This window comes from Homo sapiens, chromosome 6 (assembly GCF_000001405.40).
Source record: "Homo sapiens chromosome 6, GRCh38.p14 Primary Assembly".
In the NCBI taxonomy this organism is placed as follows: Eukaryota; Metazoa; Chordata; class Mammalia; order Primates; family Hominidae; genus Homo; species Homo sapiens.
In genome coordinates, this window is record NC_000006.12 from 46,790,502 (window position 1) to 46,807,830 (window position 17,329).

Below are 17,329 nucleotides of genomic sequence, written 5' to 3' on the forward strand. Positions count from 1 at the left end.
AGCAAGGAGTGGGCTGAGCTGTGTTTTTAGTGCCCATGTTTTGCTAGGAGGCAGTTGCTAACTAGCAGGTAGAAGGAGCAGTTTATTGAGTGCTTCCTATGTTTCTAGTAGCTGTGGTTTACATATGTTATCTCATTGAATCTTTACATTGGCCCCATGAAGTAGGCACCACTATCCATTCTACACATAAAAAGCAGGTACTAAAATTACTGTAGCTAGTCAATGGTAGAGGTGGAGTTCCTGCTTATCTGATTCCAAAGCCATTGTTGTAGTATATCATTCAGATAAGTTTAAGAAGGCAGGGAAAGATAAAAACACATCTGGCTGGAAGCAAGAGAAGGTGGAGAGAATTAAACAGCCTCACTATTCCCTGTTTGAAATCCTGATACCTGAGATTTAGTAGAGAGGTGTACCAAAGCAACAGCACTGCCTTTTTCTTTAGAAAATAAAATAACAAACTCCTACTTCCTGGTTTCCAAGATTAACAAATATTCAGTTTTACCAAATATTCAGTTTTACCATAATTGCTTCAGAATTTGAGAAAAATTAAACAACACATTTAAGAAATAAAAGTCTCATATGTTTTCCACACTGATACTTAAAGCCAATTATTCTTACGATGTTGGCCAGTTTTAAAATTTGATTATTGCCCAATTTTTAAATGGTCTAGATTGTAGTTGCTCACTTAAGTCATTGCGGCTGTTGGGCAAATTTGGCTTTTTGTTTTGTTTTGTTTCGTTTAAAAAATAATATTAGTGGTTTGTAATGGTTAGAGACGGTGGAAGATGGCCTTTTATCACCTCACCATCAGTGGCTTAGGTAAAACAAAAATCAGCCATAGAACGCTTCTGCCCATCAGAAGCAGGCCCCCAGTTGACATGCCTCCTATTTTACAGCTCAAGAAGCTCTACTGTTCACCTTCTAAAAGTCTTTTGTGACAGGAAATGCTTTTTTGACAGCAGGACTAGCCCACCTGCCCAGTAGTAAGTCTGAGGTAGAGAGATGCAGGCTCTAGACCTTGAAGATTGCTCTAATGCCAAAGATTCTTATATCTGGTGCAGGCAAGAATAGGTGGGTGTGTGCATATATTTAGTATTGTGCTGGCGCAGATGGAGCCCACTGTGTACATCTCTTCCCAACACTGCATTCAGTGACATGGTGTTGGTAGCTTGAAATTGACCATGGCAATCAACAAACACTACAAATAAAGGCTTGGTTTTGTTTGTTTGCTTGTTTGTTTTTACTTTTTTTAAAAGAGCCGATTATTAAACATTTACCTGTGCATGGCTGAATATATTCCATAATTTATCTTTTCTTTTAGTATAAACACATTTTCCCCATTCTTTACCATAACAAAAAAACTTCAATGAATATGCTATGTGGAATTTTGTGCACATATGTGTGAGTTCCTTTAGCATATAGACCTAGAAGTGAAGTTTCTATCTTATGAACTGTGCACATTTCAACTTCATTAGATAGCATCAAATTGATGTCCTACTAGATTTCCTATTTTCTTACCTTCTTGTTGACACTTGATATTGTCAGTCTTCTTAATTTATGCCAATCTTAGCTTGAGGTGGTATTTTACTGCTATTTGAACCTATAATTTTTCTGATTACTTACGAGGCTAAAAATCTTTTTACATATTTATTGGCCATCTGGGTCTTTTGTGAATTTGCTACTCATATTTTTTGTTCATTTTTTCCTTAGATAATCTCCTGTTCTTTTTATTGATTTGTAGAAATTCTTTACATATCCTGAATACTTATTCTTATTCAATTATATGCAGTATACATATCATCTCTCACCTGTGGCTTGTCTTTTAATCATGTTATGTTTTTGTCATAAAGAAGTTTAAATTTTGATACAGTCAAATGTATTATTCTTTTCCTCTGTAATTTCTATGTTTTTTTCATGTTTAAGCAATCTTTCTTGACCTAAAGGTTAAAAATATGTTCCTATATTTTCTTTTTTGAAGTTTATATTTTCATATTTAAATTTTTAATCTATCTAGAATTTATTTTTGTCAATGGTATCAGGTGTACATTTAATGTATTTCCTCATATGGAAATGCAATTATTCCCACATTATTATGAAAGAGACCCAAGTTTCCCTCTTGCCTTTTTGGTTCCTCTTATACATAAAAGCCCTGCATATGCTTGCATCTATTTGGATATTACCTATTCCAGTCTATAGATTCATTTTATCTTTATTTTTGGAACTATTACACTCTAATTACTGTAACTTTACCAAAGCTCCTGATATTCTTTTGAGGCAATTCTTTTCTCTTTATTCAGCCTTTTCAGAATTTTCTTATCTATTCTTCAATGTTTACTCTTTCATGCGAATTGAACCATTTGTCAGCTTGGCAAGTTCCACTGAAAACCCTGTTAGATTTTTTACTAGAATGACAATGAATTTATAGATTAATATTAAAACAATCTATTAATATTTCATACATATGTACATATAGAGAGAGAGTCAGGTATTTTTATGTCCTTCAATAATTGCTTTATAACATTTCCATAAAATTTGAATTTATATTTTATTAGAATTAAATAATAATAATTTTATAAATTATTTTTATTTTTATTGTTAAGGGGATCGTCTATCCTGTTTTATGATATGAATGGCTATGGCTGCCCTATAGGAATGTTATTAGTTCTTATATGCTCATTTCCGTATTAATTTTTCAAACTTTTCCCCAGTCTTTGGAGCTTAAGCATTTAAGGTAAACTTAGTGTTTGTCCTCGAAAGAGTCAATGATGTTATCTTTGACAACCTTTATTGGCACTACGGTACATATGGAAGGGTCAAAGTTTCTAATACGACCGTCAGGGTAAAGTCTAAACGGTATTTATGACAAGGTGTGTGCTAAAATCAGCTCACTTGCAGCAATGGCTTGGATTAGATCCACTTGCATTCTCTTTTTTACCTTGCTTTTTGCCCACATAGCAGCTGTACCGGTAAGTCGAGTCCTGCTTTTTGGATATTTAGAAATATTAATTCTAGTATACATTATCCATTTTCTGTATATTTATTTTTTTCAGATTAAGTATCTTCCTGAAGAAAATGGTAAGAATTAGTTCAAATGCACAGAGAGTGTTTTTGAACTTTTTTCCTTCGGCAAGACTAATAATAATTTTTTTTCTCACTTTTAACAGTACATGATGCAGATTTTGGTGAACAGAAGGATATTTCAGAAATCAATTTAGGTGAGTTCAATTTTTGTGTTATTAAAGTCTTGAAATTACTTGAAACCCAGTGGTGGGATTACTGAACACTTTCCTTCCTAATACTGTATTGTGATTCTCTGGGGGAGAAATATTTTTTGGTGCTTTGTGAGAAATTGCATTTTCTGAAAGATAAAAATGCGGAAAGAGAAGATAGTTAGACCAGACTTTCTAGGAGAGCTAGGAAGTCCTCAATGGATCTAGAAATATGTAACAAGTTTCTCTTTATAAAAATTTTATTTTTCCAATTTGTATTTGGAGGAAAAGGAAAGCAAATAGATAATTATTCCGATTGTTAAAGAAAAATATAAGAATAAGCCTCTGGTTATATTTAGTGGGGAAACAAAACCCAACCCCTCCACTGGCCCATCATATTCACTAACAACTCCTCGGTTGAGACTTAGGGGTGAGTGTAAAGCAATCTCCACTTAGACATCTCATTTACAAATATATTTCTTGAAGAAATTCATCAGTCTCATCCATTACTGAGAGGAGAGAGAAGCTGAGTCATCATCTCTGTTTTCTCTCTGTTGTCCTGCTTCTGAAATGAGAGAGAAGCCTCTGCATTCCCAGTGTCTTAGGTCAGGATTTGTGGAAGCAGAGCTATTCATGATAATAAGTACCTTCAGTTTACAAAAGCTTTTATATGCAATTGCATATTTATTTGTCCAGTCTTGTCGTGGAGTAAGTGCTGTTTTCATTTTTTTGGGAAGCGACAGGTGGCTTCTCATGGGTAGAGTGACTTGCTCAAGATCATAGGTAGCAGTGATGGGGCTTACTTCCAGATCTTGTAGCCCATACCTTAATAGCTCAGTGCTATCTGAAGGCTACAAAACTAACATACCAATAACTAAGGGTCAATTTTTCTGGCTTTGTCTCACTCACAGAGAAGCCAGTTAGTTGATATTTAATTGGAATAGCTGGAGAATGGCTGCATAGGCAGAGCAGAAATAGTTTAGGAAGGTAAATGGGTGAATGCATAAATGGGTCCCAAGACTTCAGAGCCAGGCACTAAAATATCTCTCTTTAGAGTTAGCCATTGTGTAAACAGTTCAGAGAATCTGCTGTATTTTACAACAGAAATGGGATTAGAATTAGAGTTTTTCTAATCTCATCATTATTTATCTAATAAAAATTAATTATTTACCTCTTTGCCATTTTGTACTCTTTAGGCCCACCACCACCTCTGATCCTTGACCCCAGTGGAGAAATCTCATTACCATGTAAATCTTCTTTTTAGGCCATTTCAACCAAACCACCAGGATTGATTGGGTTAGCCATATGGCCAGATTCTAACACCATAAATTGGGAAAATCATATAGAGAAAATTGCCACCTTTTTACCATCTTCTTTTTGCCTCACAAGGCTGAGTAAACGTTTCTTATCCTCCATCCCAAGACCTGCTCCTCTCAGTCCTTTTCATTTCAGTAAATGTGACTCACTCCTTCTAGATTTTCGGCTCAGAATGTTAGAGTTGCCCCTAACTCTTGCTTTTCTCTCACACCTGACACACAATCTGTCAGCAAATGTTATTCGATCTACTCGATCTACTTTTCTTTTTTCTCTTTTCTTTTCTTTTCTCCTGAGATGGAGTGTTGCTATGTCACCCAGGCTCGAGTGCAGTGGTGCCATCTCGGCTCACTGCAACCTCCGCCTCCTGGGTTCAAGCGAGTCTCCTGCCTCAGCCTCCCGAGTAGCTGGGATTATAGGTGCCCACCACCATGCCAGGCTAGTTTTTCTATTTTTAGTAGAGATGGGGTTTCTCTATGTTGGCTAGGCTGGTCTTGAACTCAAGACCTTGTGATCCGCCCACCTTAGCCTCCCAAAGTGCTGAGATTACAGGCATGAGCCACCACGCCTGGCCTAGATCTACTTTCAAATCATACTACAGTTGAGACTTTTCAGCACTTTTACTGCCCCTACCTTGGTCAGCCACCTCATGTCTGGGCTGGTCCTTTGACAGGCCTCATAACTGTGCTTCCCTTTCTGCCTTTGCTCCCTAAAGACTATTCTGCACAACATAGAGCTCTCCTTTTAATATCCTTCAGATCATGTCATTTCTCTGCTCCAACCATCTAATGACTTCTCCTTCAACATAAAGTAAAGGCCCTAGAGCCTTGATTCCCAAAGTGTGGTCCACAGGCCAAAGTGATCTGTGTCACTCAAGAGCTTTCTCTTAGAAATGCAGCATTTGAGGATCCACCCCAGACCTACAGAATTAGCATCTTCATTTTGACAGACCCAAGTGGTTTCTATGCACATCAGAGTGTGAGTCAATCTGCCCCTGACTACTCTTCCCCTTCCTACTTGAGCTTTCCAGCCACCCTGACTGCACAGCTACTCCTCTAAGGAAGTGATTTTCGATGTGTTGTCCCCAAGCCAGCAGCATCGGCATCACCAGGAAACTTGTTAGGAATGAACATTCTCAGGCCTCACCCCAGACTTAATGGACCAGAAATCCAACGGTGGGGGCTCATCAACGGGTGTTGACCAAGCCTTCCAAGGGACTCTGATGCTCAAGTTTAGGACCACTGCCCTAAGACATCAAGGCTTTCCTGTCACAGGACCTTTCTATCTGGTGTTGCCTCTACCTCCCCTACTCTTCCTTCATTCCCTCACTCTATCATATTTCTGCTAAAATGCCACCTCCTGTGGGAGGCCCTGCCTGACCACTCTTTAATAAAATAGCAAACCTATCTCACCTCAGCACTCTTTCCCACTTTACCTTTCATTTGTTTCTTTTTTATTGTACTTTTCACCATTTGTCACACTTTACAGTTATTTGTTTATTTGTATGTCTCCTTCTTCCCCCAATCAAGAGAGTCATCTCCTTAAGGACTTGTTTTATTCTCTACTGTATCCCAGCATCTAGAAAAATGCTTAAGACACATTAGGCATTTAATAAGTGTATACTACATGAACAAATTGGGTAATGAATAGATTGAGGCTTGCTCTCACTGGATGTACACTTCTTTGGGAGGTTCTCCCTGCCCCCCATGACTCCATCCATTCTGACTGACCACTGGGGCCAAAGTCTGAGTGGGCTTGTTCACTTCACTCTGAAAGAGCTCCCTCAATCCCATTATAATCCAGGCCAGGTGTCAGGAAATACAGATTTTTGCTCAGGACAAACCTCAATGTAAGAATAGATGGACCAGAACAAAGTCCCTCTGTTTAAAAGATGATTCAAATCTGGGTCCTACTGACAGTGGGACAGTGATGTCATTACTGTTTGTGGTTAATCGTACTGCTACCATAAGAATAGGTCAGGGTTAAAGAGGTTAAGCAATCTAGGAAATGTGTGCATGAGGAAGGGAATGATACAGGGATAGCCCTAGTTAGTCACTGGCAAGTGAAATCATGATGCCTGCTAATACCTAACACCTCCTTGGTGTCCTATGCATAAACGGAGCTGGTTCCTGAATGAGCCACAGGCTTTGCCAAATGAGGTCTCTGTTGGCTCGTGAGACTGTGGTAATTAATCTCTGCCTTGGCTTCCCAGCCTGTAAATCAGGGCTGTCCTCAGAATGAAGTACAATCCAGTGATTCTGTCTGAAGTTGTTGCATTTTACAGAAAATGTTTCATGTCACATGAGAGTTATGATAAGTGATGCTCTTTTAATGCTTGAGAAATTTTCCTACAAAGATCTTCCCTTTTAAGAGTCTTGCTTACTGAAACAGGATGAGGCAAGGATTAAGCAATAACAGCAGTAGGAGAGTATATTCTGCTAAGCACCTGAGAACAGATGTTTGGAGATACGGTTTAGAATGGATCTATCCATATTCCCCTGGTCTTCCTCATGATGTGGGCAGCACCTTGAGCTTGGTTTTGGAGGGTATCATCGTTTTTTCATGGGAAAGAGCAAAACACACTCATTTACTTTGGGACAAGAGGCAGAATGGTACACTGGTAGAAAGAGCCCTGGATGGAAAGGCAGGAGTTTTGATGCTCACTTGGCCACTTGATTACATAGTACATCACTTCATGTCTCTGGACTCTATTTCTTTCTCCATTTCTCTCAATAGTCTTTCTTTCTTTTTCTTTCTTTCTTTCTTTCTCTTTCTTTCTTTCTTTCTTTCTTTCTTTCTTTCTTTCTTTCTTTCTCTCTCTCTTTCTTTCTTTCTTACTTTCTACCTTTCCTTCCTTCCTTCCTTCCTTCCTTCCTTCCTTCCTTCCTTCCTTCCTTCCTTCCTTCTTTCCTTCCTTCCTTCCTTCCTTCCTTCCTTTTTTCTTCCTCTTTCTTTTTTTGTGAGACAGAGTCTGGCTCTGTCACCCAGGCTGGAGTGCAGTGGCATGATCTTGGCTCACTGTAACCTCTGCGTCCTGGGTTCAAGCAATTCTCCTGCCTCAGCCTCCCGAGTACCTGGGACTACAGGTGCACGCCACCATGCCCAGCTAATTTTTGTACTTTTAGTAGAGACAGGGTTTTACCATGTTGGCCAGGCTGGTCTTGAACTCCTGACCCCAGGTGATTCATCCACCTTGGCCTCCCAAAGTGCTGGGATTACAGGCATGAGCCACAACGCCCAGCCATTTTCTAAATAGTTTTCATCCTCCTTATCAGTGCTGCATCGAATCCCTTTTTTATAATCAGTGATCAGTAAAATCCCTTCTAACTTATGTCTTACTTCTAAGATTCTTAGACAAGATTTCTTGTCCCAAAATTGAAAACAGAGGCTATGACAATATGTGATACTCATCGGCCATTCACATTTGCTTAACTGGAATTTTTGCATTGTTTCAAAAAGTTTTGCCACATAAAGATTAATATTCAAAGATTTATAATGGCAAATACTAATTTTATTACGAAAGATGCCTTTTAATAATGTTCACTCAAATATTCTTTTTTTAAAAAAAATTCCACTTCCAGCTGCAGGCTTGGACCTCTTTCAAGGGGACATCCTCTTGCAGGTGAGTACCTGTCAATGATGCAATAAGTTTCTCAGGACAGGCAGTACCACTGGGTGTGAGTCTCTGCTCTGCGGCCAGCCCTGGGATGGGCACTGTGAAGGAGATGAGAGAAATCTCATCTATAATCTGTTCCAGTGAGGAGTTCCACTGTAGTTCCTAAGGACAAAAACAGAGGGAAAATAAGTAAACAGCACAAAAGGGTCTAAAATGATTAAATGGCTTATCTATCCAGTTTTCTTGGGATTGCAGGCCCCCTTTATTTTGTTCTTAATAATTTCTCTGATTTTTCCAAATTATCTCTCAAGGACTTCTATTGCTTTCATAATCAAAAGACAAATTGCCACTAAACTGTTTGAGTTGTGTGATAGACTGTTTGCTCTGTGAGAGTTTAGTGAAGGAGGAGGTCAAGGTGACCTTGAGGACTAGGCTTCCCACTCACCTTTACCTTTGTTTTCACAGAAATCCAGAAATGGCCTGAGAGACCCAAACACCAGGTGGACGTTCCCCATTCCTTACATCTTGGCTGATAATTTGGGTAATATTAATTGTTCTTAATTAGGAAGTTTCAGTTTAACTCTCTCTCTCCTCTCAGCCTGTCCATGGGCTTCACATTGGGAGTAACCACCACGATCTAAGAGAGTTTTCAAGTCCTGATGCATCTTTATCTAATGGGGAGAAAGACATAACATTACATCAAAAGCATTGCTGCTTAACCAGTCTGAGATACACAGAATCCAAGAATAACTTTTAAAATGCAACACACATTAAAGTATTAGTATAACCAGGAGAACATAAAAGAGCAAAACCTAATGAAATATAATTTGCATCAGAACAAGGAAAAGTTTGCACTTTGTTTAGGTGAATCTAAATGTAGTGTGAGGATACTATTTTCAGCATATTGATTTCTTCTCTTTTTCTTACAAGAGAAACATGCCACACTTTGAGAAATAGGAAAGTCCATATTTCACATGTTCACAATCCTTTTTTCTTGGTGTTATTAATGTCTACTCTTTTCTCTCTCTTAAGAAAAAGATCTGAATATGTTACATTTTACTCATTGTTAGAAATAATGACTAGTAGAATGACTTCCCTGCCTTTTAGCTAAGGTTGCATATAGAACTAGCAACTGGTAGAAATAAGTAAATATTAGAAGCCACATGTAGGCACTGGCTGACCCTCAAGCAGTTGACTGACAGCTGAGCAGCCATGATGACTCAATGTCTGCAAGGCCCCTCCTGCTTAGACAGATGAACAAGATTAGAGTGAAGAAGGGAAGCCAGGACAGGGTTGCTTAGTCTTGTTGGGCTGCTAGGCTGCTCCTACTCTCAGGAGATGTAGATTATGTTTCAGTATTTTCCATCCTCTTTATCAGTGCTGCCTCGAATCCCTGTTTATGGAGAACAGCTAGATATAAACAAATGTTATTGTTCACAGCTATTAGTTGGAAAATTGAGTTGTTTTCTCCAGTGTTTGCCTTGCAAATTCACGGAACATCAATACTTAATGGAACATGATTTAAGAAACACCAACTTTAAAAGGGGTTCTTTCCCATTACAATTTGTTTTATCCTGGTTGTCACATCTGCACCACCCTATTATGTGCCAGGCTCTGTGCCTTCATCTGATATTTTATGTAACCTTTACCATGCCTCTGTAAGGTGTAAGGTAGTGCTTCTCAGACTTTAATGTGCATAGGACTCAGATGAGGATCCTGTTAACCTACAGAGTAGGTCAGCGTTGGTGTGTGAGATGTTGCATGTCCAACGGTCCTCTAGTGATGCTGATGCTATTGGTCCCCACGCAGACCACAGCTTAAGTAGTAAGGTCTCTCTAGTTGCAAGATAGGTAAGAAATTATATTTGAGAGTGATTTGAGACAAGTGAACTGACATAAGATAAAGGTATTAAGGATACAGCAGTATTTCTCAAGCAATACCACGTGAAGGTCACCTTTAGTGTTAAAGTTCAGATGCCCAGACCCAGACCACTGTGAAAGCAAACTTTCTAACTAGAGTTGAATATTTGTATAGAATTGTTTTATTCAAGTTAAATTTACATAGAGTGAAATACACAAATCAGTATATAAGGCTTTTGACAAACACATATACCTATATAATGCACACTTCCATCATTCCATAAAGTTCCTTTCTAGGCAGTTCCCATCCCCACTCCTTAAGAGACAACCACCATTCTGATTTTCCCCTATGTATTAGTTTTGCCTGATTTACAACTGATTTACAGATAAATGAACTCATATACCATAGTATTTGTTTTATAAATACTATGTGTCTGGCTTCTTTGACTTATGTTTTTTAAGTTCTTCCATATTGTTGTAGATCAACAGTAAATTCTTTTTTTAAACTACTCAGTAATATTTCTTTGTAATACTATACTGTAAATTACTGTCCATTTTTCTGTTGGGGCTAGTATGAAGAAAACTGTTATGATAATTCTTATACAAGTTTATGTGAATACATTTTTTATTTATCTTTGGTAAATGCCTAGGAATATAATTGCTTGGTCATATGGATAACTATGTAAGAAAACGCCAAACAGTTTTCCAAAGTGGCTGTGCCATTGTACACTCCTCCTGAAAATATATGAGTGTTTCATTTGCTCCACATCCTCGCTAATATTGATAGCATTAATCTTTGTAGTTATAGCCATTTTAGTAGTTGTAAAATGGTATCTCCCTACGATTTTAATTTGCATTTCCCTAATGATTAGTGATATTTAGCACATTTTAGTATGCTACTGGCTATTTTTGTATCTTCTTTTACGAGGGTCTGTCCAACTCCTTCATGAGTTTTAAAAATTATATTGTTTGTCTTTTTATTATTTGTAGGATTTTATATATTATGGCTAAAGCCCTTTTTCAGATATATGTATTATAAATATTTTCTGTTAGTCTGTTACTTACCTATTTGTTTTTGTTTTTCAAGCAGTGAATTTTGAAATGCAAAAGCTTTAAATGCTGATAAAGTGTGATTTATCAATTTTTTAACTTATGGTTTGTGTTTTTATATTCTAAGAAATATGTGCTTAAACCAAGTCACAAAGATATATTCCAATATTTTTTGAAGTTGTATGGTTTCAATTTTTGTCTATAATTGATTGCAAACTAATTTTGTGTACAACAGGATGAAGAGATTGAGACTGATTGGTTGGTATTTATTAGCCCAGTTGTTCCAGCAACATTTGCTATAAAATTTTGCTTTCCTCATTAAGTACTCTTCGCAAGAGTCTCGTTTGCCAAGTTTGCCAAGACTCCTCATTTCTTGATCTGGTATCTCTGTTTTCCTATCTTATTCTACTTGTTTATCATCATGTCAAAAATCACTATGTTGATTACTCTAGCTTCACAGTTAACCTTGAATTGAGTGTTCCAGCTTTGCTCTCCAATTTCAAGACTGTTTAGCCTACTCCAGACCTTTTGCATTTTCATGTATATTTTACAATCAATTTCTCTAAAAAGCCTGCTGGGATTTTGATAGGAATGTGTTGATTCTGTACATAAATTTGTAGAAAACTAATTTCTTAAAAATATTGAGTCCTATAATCCATAAACATGGTACATCAGTCCATTTATTTCAGTCTTCTTTAATTTATCTAATCCGTGTTTTATAAATTTCAGTGTAGAGACCTTGTGTGTCTTTGGTAAATTCATTTCTAAGCATTTTATATTTTTGATGCTATTAAAATGAAATTTAAAAAATTTTACTACATAATGTTTTCTGCTAATATATAAAAATACAATGGATTTTTATATATTGATTTTGTATTCTGTTACCTTGCTAAATTTACTCATTAATTTTAATTGTTGATTTGTAGATTTTTTTAGGACTTTTAGTAAAAATTCTTCTTGCCTTTTAATATAGACAGTGTTACTGGTTCCTTTCCAATTTTTACACCATATATTGCTTTTTCTTGTCTTATTGTTCTGGCTAGGACCTTCATTACCATGTTGAATAGAAGTGGTAAGAGTGGACATCTTTGCCTCATTGGCTTGTTTAGTGGTAGTATTCAATACTTCATTCATGTGGGACACTGTAGGTTTTCCACAGATGCCCTTTGTCAGATGGTATGTTTTCATCATGAATAGTTGTTACAGTGTATCAAATGCTTTTCCTGCAACAATTAAGTATAATTTTTATTCCTTATTGTGTAATATGGTAATAACATCAAATTTGAATGCTAAATCAACTTTGCATTTCTCAGATGAGCCCTACTTGGTTATGATGTATTATCCTTTTCATATTTTGCTGGATTCCTAATATTTTGTTATACATTTTTGTGTTTATATTCATAAATAGTATAAGTTTCTAATTTACCTTTTTGTAATATCTTTATTAGGCTTTAGTAATAAAGTTATGTAGCTCTCAAAACCATCTTGAAAATTTTTCCTCTTCTTTTATCTTTTGAATAAGTTTGTGTATGATCAAAATTTTTTCTTTCTTAAATGTTGGTAAAAATCACCAATAAAATAAATAATAAATTTGTTTGTTGGTAAAATTCACCGATAAAATAAAATAACCAAGTAATGGAATTTTCTTTGTGGGATAGTATTTTTATAATGAATTCGATTCATTTAATAATTATAGAATTATTCTTATTTTCTATTATGCTGCTTTTATTAAATTGTATTTTTCAGTAATAAAAAATTAAGATTATCTTAATAGATGCAGAAAAAGCATTTGACAAAATTCAACAACTATTTCAACTAAGTTGTCAAAATAGTGGCATAATATCTCATTATCTTTATAATGTCTGTAGAATCTTTAGTGATAGTCCTATTTCACTTTTGATATTGGCAATTTGTGTTTTCCCTCTTTTTTTCTTGACATGTCCTGCCAGGGACTTATTGATTTTATTAATATTTTTACAGAATTGACTTTTGATTTGTTAATTTTCTCTTGCTTCTCTGCTTTATATTTAGTTGCTTTCTGTTACCTTTATTATTTCCTTTCTCCTACTTATTTCAGGTTTAGTTTACTCTTCTTTTTTGACATTCTTAAGATGAAAATTCATATCACTTATTTTAAACCTTCATTTTTTCTAATGTAATATATTCTACAACATGGCTACTAAAGCTATAAATTTTATCTGAAGCACTGCTTTACTGCCTTCTTCAAATTTTGATATGGTGTATGCTTATTAAAATTTAGTTTATTAATAGATACTTCATAATTTATCTTGTGAATATTTTCATCCATGGATGGGATAAAAGTATGTTTACATTTTTAAAAATATTGTCCTTAGCGTTAATATTATGCAAGCATTTTACAATAGTATAATTCCATTTATACCCCTGCCCTTTGTACTTTATTGGTTTATATTTTCCATCTACATGCTTCATAAGTCTCGCACTATAGTGTTAGAATTTTTTATTTAAACAGTTATCTTTTAAAGTAATTGATGAAAAACAAGAGTCTTCGTATTTACTTTTACACTTGAAATTTCTGGTGCTCCTCATTCCTCCTGTAAATCTGAGTTCTTCTCTAGTATCATTTCTCTTCAGTCTGAAGAACTTCCTTTAGCACTTCTTATAAAGCAGATTTGTTGATGACAAATTCTGGTTTTTCTTTTACCTGAAAATGATCTTTATTTTGCCTAAATTTTGAGGATATTTTAACTGGAAATAGAATTTCGGTTTATAGTAGTGTTAAAAATTATTATTTTAACATTTTTAAGTTGTAATACATTGTCTTTTTGTTTTCCAACATTTGATTATAAAAACTTTTAAATAATCAAAAAGTTAAAAGCATTATGCAGCGAACATTCACATACTCATAACCTAAATTACAATTAACAGTTTTATTTGCTTTATTTCGTCTATCCATCCCAATATCCCTCTATGAATCTATCAATCCATTGTATTTTTGATGCATTTCAAAGTCGCTTTCGGGCACTAGTACACTTTACCCCAGTCACCTAAGTATGCATGTAATTAACTACAGGTCAATATTTGTATATAGTTCCCTTTTACATAAAATATATATAGGGTAAAATGCATGAGTCTCAGATGTACAATTCAATGAGTTCTTAAAGATCTATGCACCTATGTAATCCAAATTCCTATCAAGAGATGGAACATGTTTATAATGTATGTACCTCTGAAACCTAACTTCCTATGAAGAGATGGAACACTGTTATCCTTCCAGAGAGTTCTGTTATGGCCCTTCCAAGTTATTCTCACTTTTCCAGAAAAAGAAGGTGCTATTCTATTTTTTCTTTTTTCTTCATAGGTGAATTTAACCTCTTCTAGAATTTCATATAAATGGAATCATATGTTATATACTCTTTTGAGTAAGGCTTTGTTTTACTCAGTAAAATGTTCTTGGGATGCATCAATGTTGCTGCGTTTATAAGCAATTTGTTCTTTTTTTGTTACTGTCATTTCATTGAATTTAGTATATCACAGCTTGTTTAATCATTCTCTTCGATTGATGCTATGTTTTGGCTGTTATGAATAAAGCTACTATGAGTAGCCTTGCACATATTCTTTTATGAAATATATTCTCATATCTCTGGTGTAAATAAGAATAAAATTGCTGGGTTATAGTATAGGTGTAGGTTTAGTGTTAGACCTCTTTCAATGTGCTGGTACCATTTTATACAACCACAAACAATGTACGTGAGTTTCGTTTACTCCATGCCTTTGCTAACATTTGGTGTTGTCAATTTTTAAAGTTTTAGCCATTCTGTTGGGCATCTAGTGCTATTTTATTAATTTATTGATTTATATTTCCATTATGACTAGTAATGTTGACCTCCTTTAAAGTTACTCATTGGTCATTTGTATATCTTCCCTTATAAAATATCTGCTCTGTTAACCCATTTTAAAAATTGAGTTGTTATTTAGTATTGAGTTCTAAGTGTTCTTTATATATTTTGGATATGTCTTTTATCAGATATATATTTTGCAAATATTTTGCTCCAGATACACTGTTTCTTGTCTCCAGTGTCTGATAATAAATCATCCATCTTTCAAACTTTCATATTATTGTTCTCCTGTATGTAATGTCTTTTTTCTCTAGTTGTTTTCAATACGTTCTTTTTATTTTTGTTTTTATAACAGCTTGATTATGGTATGCTTATGCTGATTTTCTTTTTATCTATCCTGTTTGGGCTCACCAAGTTTCTTCTGTCTTTAAGGTGATTTTTAAATAACCAAATCTGAAAAACGTTAGGCCATTATTTGCTCAAATATTTTTCTGTGTTTCTCCTGTCCATCAGAGACTCTAACTGCACATATCTTAGACTGGGTGATTTTTTTCCCATTGGTCACTAAAGCGCTATTCATTTTTCTGAACATTTTTCTCTCTGTCTCTTTTACCATCGCCAGTCAGCTTTTAAAATTATCCAGTGAATTTTTTATTTTTGATATAATACTGATAGAATTTTCATTGGGTTCTTTTATATAATTCCCATTTGTCTGCTGAGATTATTTGTATGTTCATCTTTATTCCATTAAATTATGTAACAAGTATACAATAGAGATTTAAAGTGTTTGTCTGTTAAGTCTAACATTTTAGTCACCTTGGGGTCTGTTTCTCTTTCTAGTTATTGCTTTTACTAATATCTATCAATAACAATTTCCTGTTCCTTCACAGGTCTCATAATTTTTGATTATATATTAGACATTGTGTTACATTGTAGTGATTATGCGTGTTTTCATTCTCCTCTGAATTGTGTTAATTTTTGTTAGAGCAGTTAAATTACTGCATGATCATCTGGAATTTGTGGAGGATTTTGTGGTCTTGCCCTTAGTTCAAGGCAAATCTCTTAGTTCTGGAATATAGTCTTTACTGTTAAGTCATGGTCCTTCTGGGATTTCAATGGAATGCCCGAGTTTCCCCAACCCCTGTAAATTTGCATGACTCAAACTCCAAATTCTTCCTCCACTGCAGTGGGCAGCAACTGATGTATCTGTTCAGGTTGCTCAGCCTTCCAATGGCTACTACCTACTGAGGGGCTTGGAGCCTTCTCCCATTTATGCAAAGTTCATGAGTCAGACAAGGATTGAAGGGGCACTTATATACAGACTTTGGGATGAATCTCCTCTTCATCTACCATGACTTTCCTTTCTAGGACTTTCTCCCTTGATTTTCAGCCACTCGGGTTAAAACTCAGCCCCAAACTTGTCCTTGTGGTATGTTAAGAAAATGCAACTGTAGATTTATACTTGAGTTCTCTTTCTTGCATTGAAGAAATTAGAGCGTGCCCTCATGCAAAAAGCTGTATAAATGTGAATCTTACCCAATGAAATTTTCCTTCTTTTAAGAAAAAGTCCTCCAGTTTCTGCCTGTTTTAGCCATTTTCCAGCATATTTAAAGAGTTTATTTTCTTATTTTTTCAAGTTTACAACTGTTATCTGTGGGAGGATTAATTAGATTCAAGCTCCTTGACAATTTTGAGCACCAGAAATTCTCTCAAAGGAATTCCTAAACTGAATCTAGGTAGCCTTCTTATGCTTATCTTCTAATACGTACAGCCATTGGTATCTAAAATTAACTCTTCTCAAAAGAAAAAAAAAGAACAAATAAAGTTAACTCTTCTTATATTATTTGATCCAAGGTTAAAGGAATGCTAGTGGTTTTCAAAACTAACTTGTTTGACACAGAACTATGTACAACTTACTATGTCAGGGCAGTTGGCTAGGAACAAGAGTTACAATGAGACAAAAAGTATATCCCTTTCTCTCAAGGAGCTAACAGTATCTTAAGTGTAGCAAACCACCTACATAAAGACAACTCAAGCCTTGGCCACCTATAATCTCAGCACTTTGGGAAGCCGAGGCAGGAAGATCACTTGAGCCTAGGAGTTCAAGTCGAGCCTGAGCAACAAAGTGAGACCCCCATCTGAAATAAAGAAAGAAAGAAAGAAAGAAAGAAAGAAAGAAAGAAAGAAAGAAAGAAAGAAAGGAAGGAAGGAAGGAAGGAAGGAAGGAAGGAAGGAAGGAAGGAAGGAAGGAAGGAAAGAAGGAAGGAAAGGGAGAAAGGAGAGGAGGAGGAAGAGAAGAAGGAGGAGGAGGAGAAGGAGGAGGAGGAGGAGAAGGAAAAAACAAGAAGAAGAAGAGGAAAACAGAAGAAGGAGGGAAGGAAAGGAAGGAAGGAAGGGAGAAAGGAAAGAAAGAAAGAAAGAAAGAAAGAAAGAAAGAAAGAAAGAAAGAAAGAAAGAAAGAAA

At 35.6% G+C, this 17,329-nt stretch overlaps 1 protein-coding gene across 3 annotated transcripts in view; it reads left to right on the plus strand.

The window, feature by feature from the left end:
• Positions 1 to 2,887: 2,887 nt before the first annotated feature.
• MEP1A (meprin A subunit alpha) overlaps positions 2,888 to 17,329 on the plus strand; it is a 52,596-nt gene continuing 38,154 nt past the window's right edge. For 2 of the 3 annotated variants that reach the window (XM_011514629.3, NM_005588.3), the window contains exons 1-5: positions 2,888 to 2,966; positions 3,051 to 3,075; positions 3,165 to 3,215; positions 8,105 to 8,145; positions 8,605 to 8,680. In XM_011514629.3, the coding sequence (XP_011512931.1) occupies positions 2,898 to 2,966; positions 3,051 to 3,075; positions 3,165 to 3,215; positions 8,105 to 8,145; positions 8,605 to 8,680 (262 nt within the window). In that variant the 5' untranslated portion in view covers positions 2,888 to 2,897. Of the gene's footprint in view, positions 3,076 to 3,164; positions 3,216 to 8,104; positions 8,146 to 8,604; positions 8,681 to 17,329 lie in introns of all 3 variants that reach the window. The other variant, XM_011514628.2, reaches the window with a different exon arrangement.